Here is a 15,209-nt window from a genome sequence, read left to right on the forward strand (position 1 = left end):
AGTTCTTCTAAACCATCTGGCACCTTGGATTTAGTGTGGAATGAATGTAAGTGTGGTTGTGTGCATATGTTTCTGCACATGAATTATTAAATCTAAAGAATTTAAAAAAATTTCTTTATCATCAATCCAGATAATAAAAGTATCTTTATGTGTTTTATTTCTAAGCTCTAGAAGGTTGGAACAAATTTTCCCTGATACATTGCAACATTGCATTTCTTTTTGATATCTTCAATAAATGTGAAGCTGGCAACCAACCAATGAACTTTATTTACTCTAAAAATATTAATTTTTAACTTCTGTGCTTATATTGTCATTTCAATTTCATGCTTAGTAACTACAAAACTATTGCAGATGAGTGAGTGAGGGAAATGTCATCATGAGGTCCCAGAAGTCAGCTTTGGTATTTCTGCTCCTGCAACTCTTCTGTGCTGGCTGTGGATTCTGAGAGAAGGTCCTGGTGTGGCCCTGTGACATGAGCCATTGGCTGAATGTCAAGGTCATTCTAGAGGAGATCATAGTGAGGGGCCATGAGGTAACAGTATTGACTCACTCAAAGCCTTTGTTAATTGACTACAGGAAGCCCTCTGCACTGAAATTTGAGGTGGTCCATATGCCACAGGATAAAACAGAAGAAAATGAAATATTTGTTGACCTAGCTCTCAGTGTCTTGCCAGGCTTACCAACGTGGCAATCAGTCATAAAATTAAATGTTTTTTTGTTGAAATAAGAGGAACTTTAAAAATGATGTTTGAGAGCATTATCTACAATCAGACACTTATGAAGAAGCTACAGGAAACCAACTACGATGTAACGCTTATAGACCCTGTGATTCCCCGTGGAGACCTGATGGCTGAGTTGCTTCCAGTCCCTTTTGTGCTCACACTTAGAACTTCTCTAAGAGGCAATATGGAGTGAAGCTGTGGGAAACTTCCAGCTCCACTTTCCTATGTACCTGTGCCTATGACAGGATTAACAGACAGAATGACCTTTCAGGAAAGATTAAAAATCCAATGCTTTCAGTTTTCTTCCACTTCTGGATTCAGGATTATGACCATCATTTTTGGGAAGAGTTTTAGAGTAAGGCATTAGGTAAGAGATTCTTGTTTTATTTTTAATTTAATTATCAAAATAAATATTTTTAAAAATTGCCATACATCATCTATGACACATATATGCAGGTTAATGAGTTTTTGTTATAGAAAATGTTATAGCTGTTCTTCATAAAGAAAGTAGATTTGTTCTAAGTGTAAGATAACCTACTTCCTTAATACCAGTAATAAACTTACAAATGATCATCATTAACAAGGAGATTATATTTTGTATTTCCTCCAAATAGCCCAAGTCTAGATCGCATATTTTTGAGAATTATTGGTTGTTACTTTTATTGTTATACCATTTCTACTGAAACAAGATGCTAACCATTCTTTTCTCTCTTATCAAAAATTTCAAAAAAAAATCTTTAGAAAGTCGTCTTTGAATTATTTTTTCAAGAGTGGTTAAATGGAAACATTTTCTAGAATTCTCTAATTTCTTAGTTGATTACTTCACAAAAACTTGAAAAAATATTATAAAAAGTTAAATGACTTTTGGTCTTGTGGGGCAGGAGATAGAATTTTTACTTTACTGATATATATCCATTTGACTTATTTTTATTTCTTTGCTTTACTGATAAAAAGTTGTTTTGCTTTGCGGTTTTCATACACAGTTGTGATCAGCGCTGGTCAATGAAAGACATGTTTTTGATCCAAATATGTTTGAGAAATATGTAGAAACATGAACAAAGGAACAATCATAATAGACACTAAAATATTGTTTAATATATTCCACTGAATTCCAGTACATAGACTGTTTCAAAGAACTAATATTCAGAGGATCCCACTTCAAATGTCCTTAGCCTTAGACATGATTTGAATTTACATGTATTGATTTGCCCTAATTAATTCTGTTTTCAGTAAGCTCTGCCTAGCTTACCATTTTATTTCCACAACTTCTTATACATAGTCATATTTCATTTTATTATCCTTTGCTTTATTGTGCTTCACAGAAATTGCAATTTACAAATTAAATGTTTTTGAAAACCCTGAATGAAGCAAATCAATTTGGCATAATATTTCCAACAGCAAGTGTGTACTTTTTGACTCTGTATCACATATTGGCATTTATCATGCTTTTTCAAATTTTTCATTATTATATCTGTTATGGTGATCTGAGATCAGTGATCTTTGATGGTTCCATGTTTACTAGCTTTGGGGCACCTTGAGCTCTTCCCATATAAGACAGCAAACTTAATTATAAATGTTGTGTGTGTACTAACTGCACCCACCTTTATGAGGTTTCTGTCAGCCCCTACTGGGAGGTGTCTTCCAGTTAGGTTACACAGGGGTCAGGGACCCACTTGAAGAGCAGTCTGTCCATTCTCAGAGTTCAAACCCTCTGTGGGGAGAACCACTGCTCTCTCCAGAGCTGTCACACAGGGATATTTAAGTCTCAGAAGTTTCTGCTGCCTTTTGTTCAGCTATGCCCTGCCCACAGAGGTGGAGTCTATAGAGGCAGTAGGCCTTGCTGAGCTGCAGTGGACTCGACCCAGTTCAAGCTTCCTGGCCACTTTGTTTACCTACTCAAGCCTCAGCAATGGTGAATGCCCCTCCCCTCGCCAGGCTGCCGCCTGGCAGGTCAATCTCAGACTGCTGCACTAGCAGTGAGCAAGCCTCCCGGGGCATGGGACGCCTGAGCCAGGCACCAGAGATAATTTCCTGGTCTGCTGTTTGCTAAGACCATGGGAGAAGCCCGGTAGTTGGGCGAGAGTGTCCCATTTTTCCAGGTACAGTCTGTCACAGGCTCTCAGCTAGGAAAGGAAAATCTCCCCAGCCCTTGCACTTCCCAGCTCAGGTGACGCCCCGCCATGCTTCGGCTGGTCTTCCTTGGGCTACTGCACCCACTGTTCAACTACTCCCAATGAGATGAACCACGTACCTCAGTTGTAAATGCAGAAATCAACCATCTTCTGTGTCAATCATGGTGGGAGCTGCAGACCGGAGCTGGAACTATTCAGCCATCTTGGAACGGGAGCCCTCTAGGTGATATATTTTGAAGTCAGGTAGTGTGATGCCTCCAGATTTGTTATTTTTGGTCAAGGTTGCTTTGGCCTTGGTCTTTTGCAGTTCTGTACAAATTTTTAAAAAAGCTTTTCTCCATTTCTGTTTAGAATGTCATGGTATTCTGATAGAGATTGTTAAGAATCTGCAGTTTCCTTTGGGTACTATGTACATTTTAATAATACAAATTCTTCAAATTCATGAACATGATGTATCTAATTATTTGTGTCTTTTTTAATTTCTTTCATCCTTGTTTTATAATATTCATTGTAGATATTTTATACCTCCTTGGTTAAACATATTCTTAGGGGTTTTATTCTGTAGCTATATTATATGAAATTGTTTTTCTAATTTTTTGCAGATAGCTATTTCCATACAGAATAATACCAATTTTTGTATGATAATTTTTTTCAAAAAGTTTTCTGAATTTTTTTATCAATCATTATGTGTTGTTTTCATGGAGTCTTTAGTTTTCTCTCTTTATAAGTTCATGTCATCTGCAAAGAGGAACTATTTGATTTCTTCCTTTCCAATTTGTATGCCCTTCTTTTCTTTCTCTTGGTTAATTACTCTGACTAGACGTTCCAGTATTAGGTTGGATAAGAGTGGAGAAAGTGTGCATCTTTGTCTTTTTCCAGATCTTAGGAAAAAAAAGAAACCTTTCTACTTCTCCCCGCTCAGTATGATGGTAGCTGTGTGTTTATCATGCATGGGCTTCATTGTTTTATGTATGTTTTTTTTTTATATACTTAATATGTTGAGAATTTTTATCCTAAAGAAATACTGAATTTTATTAAATGCCTTTTTGCTATTATCTATCTATCACCTTTCTATCTACCTATAAATTTATTTGTCCTTCATTCTGTTGATGTGGTGCATTACATGTATTGACTTGCATATGTTGAACCATCCTGGCATCCCTGGGATAAATTGCAGTTGATCATATTGAATAATCTTTTTAATATGCTGTTGGATTTGGTTGGCTAGTAGTTTGTCGATGACATTTGCATCATTATTCATCAGGTATATTGGCCTATATATATATCTATCTATATAGACATATATAGATAGATATAGATATAGATATATAGATAGATATAGACCTATATAGATATAGATATATAGATAGATATAGACATATATATATATATATATATAGGCCCATATGGGCATATATATATATATATATATATATAGGCCAATATGGGCCTATATATATATATATATATATATATATATATAGGCCAATATGGACCTATATATATATATATACACATATAAATAAATAAAACATGGTGAGAAATAATGAGGAAGAAGCTTAAAGCAGTAATAAACTGCTATATATATTATATATAATATATAATAAATTGCTATATATTTTATATATATGTATATATATATGTGTGTGTATATATATATATATATATATAGTCTCCTTGTCTGTTGTGGGATTACAGTAATGCTAGCCTCACAAGATGATGCTGAAGTATTTTTGCCTTTTTGATGGTTTGGAAGAGTGAGAAAAATTAATATTAATTATTCTTTAAATTTGGCTGAATTTCATAGTGAAGACATTAGCTCACTGCCTTTTTTAGTGAGACTTTATTACTGCTCTAAGCTTCTTCCTCATTTTTTATCTCTCCATGTTTTTATTTATTCATAATCCAGTCCTATTTTACTGTATGTGTCCAGTAATTTGTTTATTTTCCTAGATTTTTCCATTTGTTGGCATATACTTGTCCATGGTAGCCTCTTATATTCCTTTTTATTTCTAGCGTCAATTGTTTTTTCTTCTTTGTTTTTAGAACTTTTAAGGTTTTAGAGATGAAGTCTCACTTTGTCGCCCATGCTTGAGTGCAGTGACCCTATTATAGCTCACTGAAGCCCAGTCTCCTGGGTTTAAGCAATCTTTTTACCTCAACTTCCAGAGTAGCTGAGACAGGCATACACCACCAAGCTTGGCTAATTTATTTCAAATTTTGTAGAGATGGGTTCTTACTAAGCTCATCTCAAACTTTGGGCCTCAAGTGATTCTTCAGCCTCTGTCTCCAAAAATGCTGGGATTATAGGTATGAGCCCCTGTGCCTGATTTGTTTTATCTCTTTGTAAGCTCCCATTTTATTTGAATCTTTTCTGGTTTGTTTTGTTTTGTTTTGTTTTCAGTTAGTCTAGCCAAACCTTTGTCAATTTTATCTCTTCAAACAACTAACAATATTTCGCTGATTTTCTATATTGTATTTTATTTCTATTTCATTTATTTCTGCTCTAATCATTAAATATCTTTTTTCTTAATAATTTTGTTTTCTTGTTCTTGTTTTTCTAATTCATTGAGATGTTATCATAAATTGTTTATTTGAAATCTTCCTACTTTTTTGATGTTTGTGTTCGTTGTTGCAGACTTTCCTCTTAGAACTAATTTTGCTGTATCTCATTGGTTTTGCTATATTATGCTGCCAGTTTTGTCTCAAGAAAATGTTTAAATTTACTTTTAAATTTCTTTGATCATTCATGAACACGTTTAATTTCCACATAGTTGTACAGTTTATAGTGTTCCTTCTGTTACTGATTTTGTCTTTTTTCACTGTGGTTATAAAAGACATATAAGATGATTTGAATTTTTTTAAATGTGGTAAGTTTTTTTTTTTTGTAATCTGACAGAAAAGGTTCTGTGTGCTGTTGAGAAGAATGTGTATTCTGCAGTTGTTGAATGGCATTTTCTGTAAATGTGTGTTAGATTTATTTTGTCTAGAGGGAAGTTTAACTCCTATATTTCTTTGTTGATTTGCTGTCTGAATTATCTGGTTATTGAGGTAATTAGGGTTTTAGGTAGTCTACTATTTTTGTATTACAGCTGATCTCGTCCTTTAGAGACATAAATCAATATTTGCTGTATATTTGCTGTGGCATGAGAGACACGCATATTTACAATTGTTCTATTCTGCTGCAATATTAAGTCTTTTTTCATTATATAATGGCTTTCTTTGTCTTTTTAAAATCATTCTTAAAGTCTTTAATCTGATATAATAATAGCAACTCTTGCTTTTTTTAATTTTTATTTTTGGTTTCCACTGGAATGGAATACCCTTTTCTACTTCTTTACTTTTAGTTTATGCATACTTTTATAGGTATAATAATTTTCTTATAGGAAGAATATAGTTGGGTATTTTTATTTTATCCATTTAGCCATTTCTATGTATGTTAATTGAAGAATTTAATCCATTTACATTTAAGAATATTATTAACAAATAAAGATTTAATGCTGCCTTTTTAAAATTTTTTCTGTGGTTGTATTTAGATCCCTTTGTCCTTTTCTCCCTTCTCTTACTGTGCTCCTTTGAGATCAAGTAACTTTCTCTAGTAGTATGTTTTAATTCCATTTAGGTATTTTTAGTGTATCTATTATAGGTTTTTGCTTTGTGGTTACCAAGAGGCTACAGAAACACCTTATAGTTATAAGAGGTTATTTTACATAAATGACAACTTTAATTCCAAAGAAAAAAAAAATTTAAACTGTGTATTTTCACACTATTTCCCCAACATTTGGACTTTTTCATGTCTGAATTTACATCTTTCTATGTTGTCTATCCCTTAATCATTGTTGTAGTTGTTACCTTTATTAGTTTTCCTTTATAGTCTTTATACTAAATATCAATTAGAGCGTTAGAGTATTCTGAATTTGTGTATATATTTACATTTACCAGTGACTTTTTACATTTTTATTTGTTACATGTTAGTGTCCTTTTCCTTTAGTGTCCTTTCCTTTTCCTTTAGAGTCCTTTCCTTTTCCTTTGCATTTCTTCTAAGACAGGTTTGGTGTTGGTGAATTCTGTTAGTTTTTATTTTTCTTGAAAAGTCTTTATCTCTTCCTCATATATGAAGAAGTGCTTGGATGAGTACAGTATTCTTGTATTAAAAGTTTTACAAATTTTTGTTTACTTCAGCATTTTGACTATATTATCCCACTCTCTTCTGTCCTGAAAGATTTTTGTTTGTTTGTTTGTTTCTGGGAAATTCACTGAAAACAGTTCGGGACCACTATTGAATGTGTTATGTTTTGTTGTTGTTTTGTTTTGTTTTGTCCTCTCTCCTACTTCTTTCATTATTCTTTTTGTTCTTTGATTTTTGGTAATTTGATTATAATGTACCTTTGGGAATTACTTTTTGGGTTGAATTTGTTGGGTGATGTCTAAGCTAACTGTTCCCAGATATTATTGTCTTTCTCCAAATTTAGAAAATGTTGAGTCTTTATTATCTTCAGTATGTTTTCTAGGCCTTTCTTTTCTATCTCATATCCTTTAGAAATTTATATTATATGGCAGTATTTCCCTTCATAGTGTCATATAATTTCTGTGGCTGCCACTATTTCTTTTTTCTTTCTATTCCTCTGATTGGGTAATTGCATGTTTTCTTTGAGCTTATTGATTCTTTCCTGTTTGATCAAGTCTGCTGTTAAAGATTTCTAGTGAGTTTTTAGTTTAACAATTTTTATCCTGCATTTCAAGGATTTCATATTTTATTATTCTGATTTCATTCTCAAATGTATAATATTGTGTCTGCATTATTTTCCAAGTTTCTTTTAGTTTTTTGTTTATAGATTTATTGTGAATTTGTTTTTGAATATTTAAGAATTATCAATTCTGGTGCATTATTGAACACTGATTGGTTTCTTTTGGAGATGTCATATTTCCCTGTTTTTTTTTTTTAACAATACTTGCTGTTTACATTGATGCCTGCATATTTAAGAAGATAGACACCTGATTCAGCTTTTTAAGGTGTTATTCAGTGGTATTAAAACTTTACTGCTTAATACCAGAGCTGAATCGCTGCCAGAGGATTCTTTCTGTTCTGAGGAGAGCTTATAGTTGATAACAGAACCTAAATAGTGCACCAGAGCTAAATCTCTTCCATGCTATTGTTTTCCTGCCTGGGGAAGCCTTATCATGATGATAAAAAGATAATGTTGTGCCAGAACTTAAACTCAAACCTGTAGTAATATCTGGGTTGGGGAAGGCTTAAGAAATAACTGGAACTTAGTTACTGACCTGATAGTTGTTTCTGGGTCAGAGAAAGGCTCTGTATGATCACCTGGGATATTTGTAAAATCTGACCAAAGATTCTAGCTTTCCCTTGGATTGTGCCTCCTGCACTATTGTAGTGCTGGCTAGGCCCCCATCAGTGTGAGTTCCCTGCTGATAGGACCGCAAAGCATCTGCCAAGATCTGTTTGCCATTTGCCGTGATTAGTGCTTCTGCTCTTTGCTTCCAATTCAACCCAGGTGGTTCAGCCCTTCTGACGCTCCTAATACCTCCTGTGGGATGGAACGAAGAAGGCTTTTCACAGTGATTCACACACTCATATGGGGATTGAATGTCCACCTGCAATTATTTTCTTCCACCTGTGTAAATGCAGGTAGAGGGAAGTTTTCTGTGAGTGATGCTATTTTCCTTTGGAGAATGGGGTGACGCAGCACAAATGACCTTTCTTCTTTCTGGTCATGGATTTTTTAATTTCCATGAACCCATAAGATTTTTCACTTTTCTCCTGCGCTCTGGTGCATTCAGAGTGGTATTTTTATATTTGAATAGTTGCTAGTTGTACTTTTAAGAAGGATTGATGCTGGACGTCTTCTATTCCACCATCTTGCTGATGTCACTCCTCAAATAATATTTGTATATGTTAGTAAATTATTTTGTTTTTAGGATTCTGTGGCTACATGACACAGACATGAAAAGTACTCTTGTCACTGAAACTTTTCATATACTGTTTGATTGTGTGCCTTTTCTAGTAATGAATGAATATGTATTTAAGCTATATGTTTTATACTTAGACTTTCTTATAAAGAGACTAGATAGTTCTGTGTGTCAGAACATAAGAATAGAATACAACTACACAGTAATAATTCCTCAACTCTTTATTTTATAAGTGTAAGTAGGCTTTACTTTAATCTTTGTTGTATTACCCCTGTGTAATGCAGAGAAATTTTTATCTTCCAGAAATGGAAAATGTTGTCCAGAGTTCAGGGGAAGAGGATATTGGGTTCTTTTCTCTGAGGTCACTGTTTCAAAACGTTACAGAAGAAAAGGCTAATATTGCTTCAGCCCTTGCCCAGATCCCACAGAAGGTCAGTAAAACCTCCATTCCTGATAAGCAGCTATTCACATAGTGAGAAAGTATGGCTTTTGCCCTACTCAGTCTTGCTGTTATTGGAAACAACTCTCTTGATTGTCGTTCGTTTATAATAAAATAGAAATAAAAAAATAAGCCCCTACATCATATTTTAGAATTTGAAATTTAAAGGCATGTGCCAACTATTCCAAAAAAAGTTCTGACATGTATTATTTCCAAGGGCCAGAAAAAGGAAAACTGATATAAAAAAGAAAAAGAAGAATCAATTTCAGGAATATCCTTCTCATATTTGAGTGCATAAAAATTGTATTCAGGGTACTTTTGCATAGAAATAAAAGCTCCGATTAATGTAGTCTTTCTCGATAATTAGAGCTTTCTTCAAGAGTTAAATGTCAATTACAATTATATTATAGTAACTTAATTATTTAAGCAATGTAATTATTTATAATACTCAACTAATTTCAACTTTGTTATTACTGTAATTCTAGAATTTCACACTTTAGGTAGTGCTATATATAAACTATCCAAAAGATGTTTTATTTCATATTTAGCTAAAATACATCAAACTCAATAAAGGCAAATATACTAATTAGGAATGTGAAATCTCATAATTTTAATTAAGAAATTATCTGTTAAGTAGTTTGAAACATCTGTGCCACCCTTTCTTTTCAAATGTATGAATTTTTTTATAAGTTCCCACAAATCAAAATTATGGAAAAAAAAGACACAATCCCAAAGAAAGTTTATCATTGAACAATGGAACATAAGTAATTCTCTAGCTCATTCGTCTTCAATAAAACAAATAAATATAAGAAGACAGAGGCCAGGAAGGAAATAGAGAAGAAAAGATAACCGATTATCCAAAACACACACAAAATTGAAAGCAAATTTTATCTGTGGGGAACTGTAAATTTGATGGTAGAACTGGAATAGTTCCATGATTTGAAATGACACAGAGATCATGTACTTATAAAATATTTTATTCTTATAAGAAAATTGAGTAGCCAGTGCTGAATTACTTTTTAATGATTCACTGATATTCTCATACTCAGATATTTTTAATCGATATTAAAATAATAATAGTATACTTAGTCAACTGGTAAACATTATTTGAAAAGACCTTTGTAAAAAGTCTTACTATGTCTTTTAGTGTTTACACAGTACCTCTAAATACCCCTGTCTCAACCAACACCTGAAGTACAATGAGTTTGTAATTTATAAATTTATAATTTATAACTATATCTATATCCTTAGAATGCTAATATCCTGTGGTTCAATCTGTGAAATACATGTGTTTCTTCCATAGGTGTTATAGAGATACAATGGGAAAAAACTATCCACATTAGGAACCAATACTCGACTGTCTGATGGGATACCCCAGAATGATCTTCTTGGTAGGACTATGAGAAAGTAAAAATACGAACTAGATGAGGAAAAAATGAATAAATGTTAAACAGTGAGCAAATTCAGCAAATATTTAAAATTATAAAACTTTATTTTACTTACACTTTTGAAGCAGATATAATTAAAGGATTGACTAAAATTGTATAGACTCACACTCTCTATTGTTAGGGTGAGAGTGACAGGATATGCAGAAGGAATTAATGCCTCTTTTACTTAAGTTAGAAATGATCTTTAGTAGCAAAGCTCCATGTGATCTCCTTTTAAAGAAAATGCTGTACACTTCAGGGAGTTATCTCATAATTCCCTTTTTTAGTCCTGAAATTATTTTAAAAATTCATAATAAAATATCTCACCATCTCTCATCGAATTTGCGTACTAGGTCACCTCAAACCAAAGCTTTTATCACTCATGGAGGAATGAATGGGATCTATGAAGCTATTTACCATGAGGTCCCTATGGTGGGAGTTCCCCTATTTGGTGATCACAATGATGCCATAGCTCACATGAAGGCCAAAGGAGCAGCTGTAGAAATAAACTTCAAAACTATGACAAGCAAAGATGTACTCAGGGCTTTGAGAACAGTCATTAACGATTCCTCATAAGTACTACTGCTTGTAAAGACTGATCTAACATTGGTTATATTATACATTATGTCGGAAAATGTTAAATATCATGCTGGTAGACATTTTAAGGGATTTTTCCCTTCAATATTAAGTCATTCATCACCTTAGTATTGGAATAGTTCTGGAAATTATAGTTCATAGAGTGTCAATCTTCATGGAAATATTAAGTTAACAACTGGCTTGCTCAGGTTTTATTCACATCTTTGCTTTACCCCATTTTGTTAAAAATATACTCTTTTTCAGTCTCCCCACTATATCTGTTTAATGCTATGCAACCAATAACGTTCATGTCACAACCAGAATCAATCTTTTACTCAACAAGTTTTGGCTTGCATAACATATACTACAGTTTATCTACCTGTCTTTTATGAAAACAAAATTACAACTTTCTAAGTTCTATGTGTGTTTTTGCCTTCCAGTTATAAAGAGTATGCTATGAGTTTATCAGGGATTCACCATGATCAACCTGTGAAGCCCCTGATCGAGCAAACTTCTGGATCGAGTTTGTCATGTGCCACAAAGGAGCCAAGCACCTGTGATCAGCTGCCCACAGCCTCACCTGGTTCCAGCACTACTCTATAGATGTGATTGGGTTCCTGCTGGCCTGTGTGGCAACTGCTATATTCTTGGTCACAAGATGTTGTTTATTTTCCTGTCAAAAATTTAATAACACTAGAAAGATAGAAAAGAGGGAATAGATCTTTCCAAATTTAGGGAAGACCTGATGGGGTAATCCTGTTAATTCCAGACACAAAGAATTTAGTGAAAACATGTTCCCTTCCTATTTTCATATTATCTATTCTGATATTTTATCTTAGCTAAGTAGCCTAGAATTCCACGATCATGAACTTGTGAGTATATCTCATTCTTTCATTGTATTTTCCTAGGTGTGCTTACTCTCTTCTCTCACTTTGTGACACAAGGACATGAATACATGTAAATTTTCATATTTCTGATATCACTGTTTCCATGATGTCATCACTTCTCTAACCTTAAGTGATAGGGTGACCTGCAATATGCTGATTCCTGGTGTTTGCACAAACACATGGATGTAAAGAAGTAAAAAATGTAAAATTCACAAAATTCAGTAAACCACACAAATCAATGAAGCATTCTATGACATTAGCTTGTTATGAGAAACATAATGATTTTTCTTTTTCAATTTAAATAAGCCCTTCTACATACCCAGCATTACTGATCTCAGACAATGAATTACTAAAAATGACAATAGAGCATTACACTCAGAATAGTTTGCTATATTTCCACATACCTCATCTAGATGTCATAGCCTACATTTCTGCCATCACTCAACCAAGATTTTTTATGTGTTCTTGATGATAAACAGTTCTTATTATTGTTCTCAAATAATAAAAGAAACTGATATTTTCTTACTTAGAGAAAATGTCCATAAGATATTCAAGTTAAACAGATTATTTTGAGATAAGTAACCATTAGAAATATATGATTTTAATTACTGATTTTATAAAATTTTAATTGACAGTACACTTAAGAAGATTTAAATGTCTATTCTTTAAAAATGATGAATACTCATAATTCTTATCTCTATAATCAAAAGTATAGTTTACTGTAGAAAAATAAAGAGATGCTTGCTCTGAAAGCAAGATCAGTATACTGCTTTCCAGCCTCAAAATTCGAGAATTGCAAATTCATCAAGTAATGGCTTACATGGTAAAAATTTAAGGTATTAGAATACCTGCTTAACAAATATTAGTATATATTAAATATTTAGATAAGTAAAGCTCTACCCTAAATATAGTTTAATAATCTTTACACTAAGCAAATATGTTACACTTTTCATTTTGTTTACTGTCATATAATCTTAGTGACATGCCTTTAAATTTTAATTCAAGGACTTGATTTATTAAATGAATAAATTGGCTCAACTGGCTTTTTGAAAATTTTGAAATTGTTACACATGTCGATAAAGTACATCCATAAATTAATTCCAATTTTAAAATGACTATATAAAAAGAAATATAAGTATTTTTCTTGCATGTGTATACAATTAAATGTAAATAAAATTAGTAGGTTTTTAAAATTTCTTAAGTTTTTACATTGATATGTTTCTGACTTTTACAACATTATCATAATCTAGGAAAAGCTGATTATATCTGTTTTAAGCCTCATCTTTTCTCTGTAATTAAATACAGCAATTGATCAACATGCTGTGACAGGTGGGAAGCCATTTCTGGAGTTGAGCCTGCTGACACTCTGGGGCTTTTTAGGTTGCACACTCATTGTACCTGGGACACCCTTCCTCTCAAGAGCTGTTGCTCATAAGACTCTCCTTCATCAATCTGGCATTACCATTGGAGATCAGTTGCAATCAGAATACAACTGGCCTTGTAGTTGTAATATGTTCTATCTTAACCACCACTTTCATACCAGGAACCTGCTCAGGTTTGTTCTCTAAAAGCTCCCAACATAGATACTCTACATTTCAGACTATTAAGTTATTAACAAACCTTTGGACCATGTTCACTTTAGGTTGAGCATAGTGTGAGGAGATGTAAATTAAATTATAATCTTATATGTGTGTGTTATAAATATTAAAGTGTATAAATTAAACAGCAGATTCTAAGTATCCAACAAGGGTCAAATAAATGATACAAAGTCACCAAATAAATAATATTTAATCTCATTTTACTTCAGAAATTTTCTTGTAATATCATCTTTTGTTTTTTACATTATATCAATTATTGCAAACAAAGAAAAATCTCAAATGAATTCTTAATAATTACCTAGAGCCTCACTTCTAGACCCAACAACTAACAGCAAATTGCCATATTTTCATCACATTGTCTTTAAAATTTGCACATGGTGTGGTGGCAAAATTGATGTTTTAAATGTGGCAGAGCAGGAATGCCCTGTCCCTGTTCCCCATGCAGAAAGAGACTTGGCGACATTATATAGACCAAATTGCCATGGCAATAATCTCAGAAACCAGTCCAAAGGTTGCAGCACCACAGAAAAGAGCAAAGCCAAGAAGAATTCTATTTTAATATCTAAGAAATGTTGTACCATATACTCTCTATAGATCCTTCCCTAGCCAGTACAGCATTACACAATCAGGAAAAAAATCTTTAGTCATCAGTTTTCCCACAGGAGTGAAAGAAGAGTGAAATGTGGTCTAATGTTCTGGCTCCTTAGGAGACTTCCCAAGGGTCTGATTTCTGTCACTGAACTTAAATCACTTACGGAAACCCCAGCATTTGAATGCCTGGGAATAAAGGCAGTGTGACAGTTTTGGGCAGTACCGGAAGAGCTGCATTATTACTACAGAATAACAACAGGTGAAGTAAAATATTACAAAATCCTGGAAACAAACAAAAAACTATATTTAACTTGGTAATTACATTCAAAAGCCCAGAGAAGATACAGCTCTTGGAATGGTTTGCAAAGCTCCCAGCATCTCTAGCTGGGGTGATTGATGAAGGTTTTCCACTACACTAAGCCAGTGCATAAAGACTGGGAGATGTGGATGTTTCTTTAAATCTAAGTTTAAACAAAGAAATGTGAAGCATGCAGACACTGGTAAGCATGACCTATTTGAAGGAACAAAATAAACCTTTTTTTTCAACCCTGAATAAACAAAGATTTATTAATTACCTGTCAAAAAATTCAAAATACATTAAATACCTATCAAAATTTTCAAAAATATTTAAAGATGCTGGATTACCTAAAAGAACCCAGACAAGTTTCTAAAAATCAGGAATATAAGGCATGTATAAAATAAGAGTATCAAAAAAGACATAAAAGTTTAGAAAAGAACTGGAGATAAGTAATACAATAACTAAATTGAAAAATTTACTAGAAAAATTCAATAGATGACTTGACCAGGTAGAAAAAATAATTGATGAATTTGAAAATATTGGCCATTTGAAACTATTAAGGAAGAGGATCAAAAGGAGTGTGATAATAACGTGAAAGCCTGAGACTT

General features: G+C 33.0%; 1 pseudogene; it reads left to right on the forward strand.

Moving 5' to 3' along the window:
* LOC642496 (UDP glucuronosyltransferase family 2 member A3 pseudogene) lies at window positions 333-12,239 on the forward strand (annotated as a pseudogene).
* Window positions 12,240-15,209: the final 2,970 nt, after the last annotated feature.

This window comes from Homo sapiens, chromosome 4 (assembly GCF_000001405.40).
Source record: "Homo sapiens chromosome 4, GRCh38.p14 Primary Assembly".
NCBI classification, from domain to species: Eukaryota; Metazoa; Chordata; class Mammalia; order Primates; family Hominidae; genus Homo; species Homo sapiens.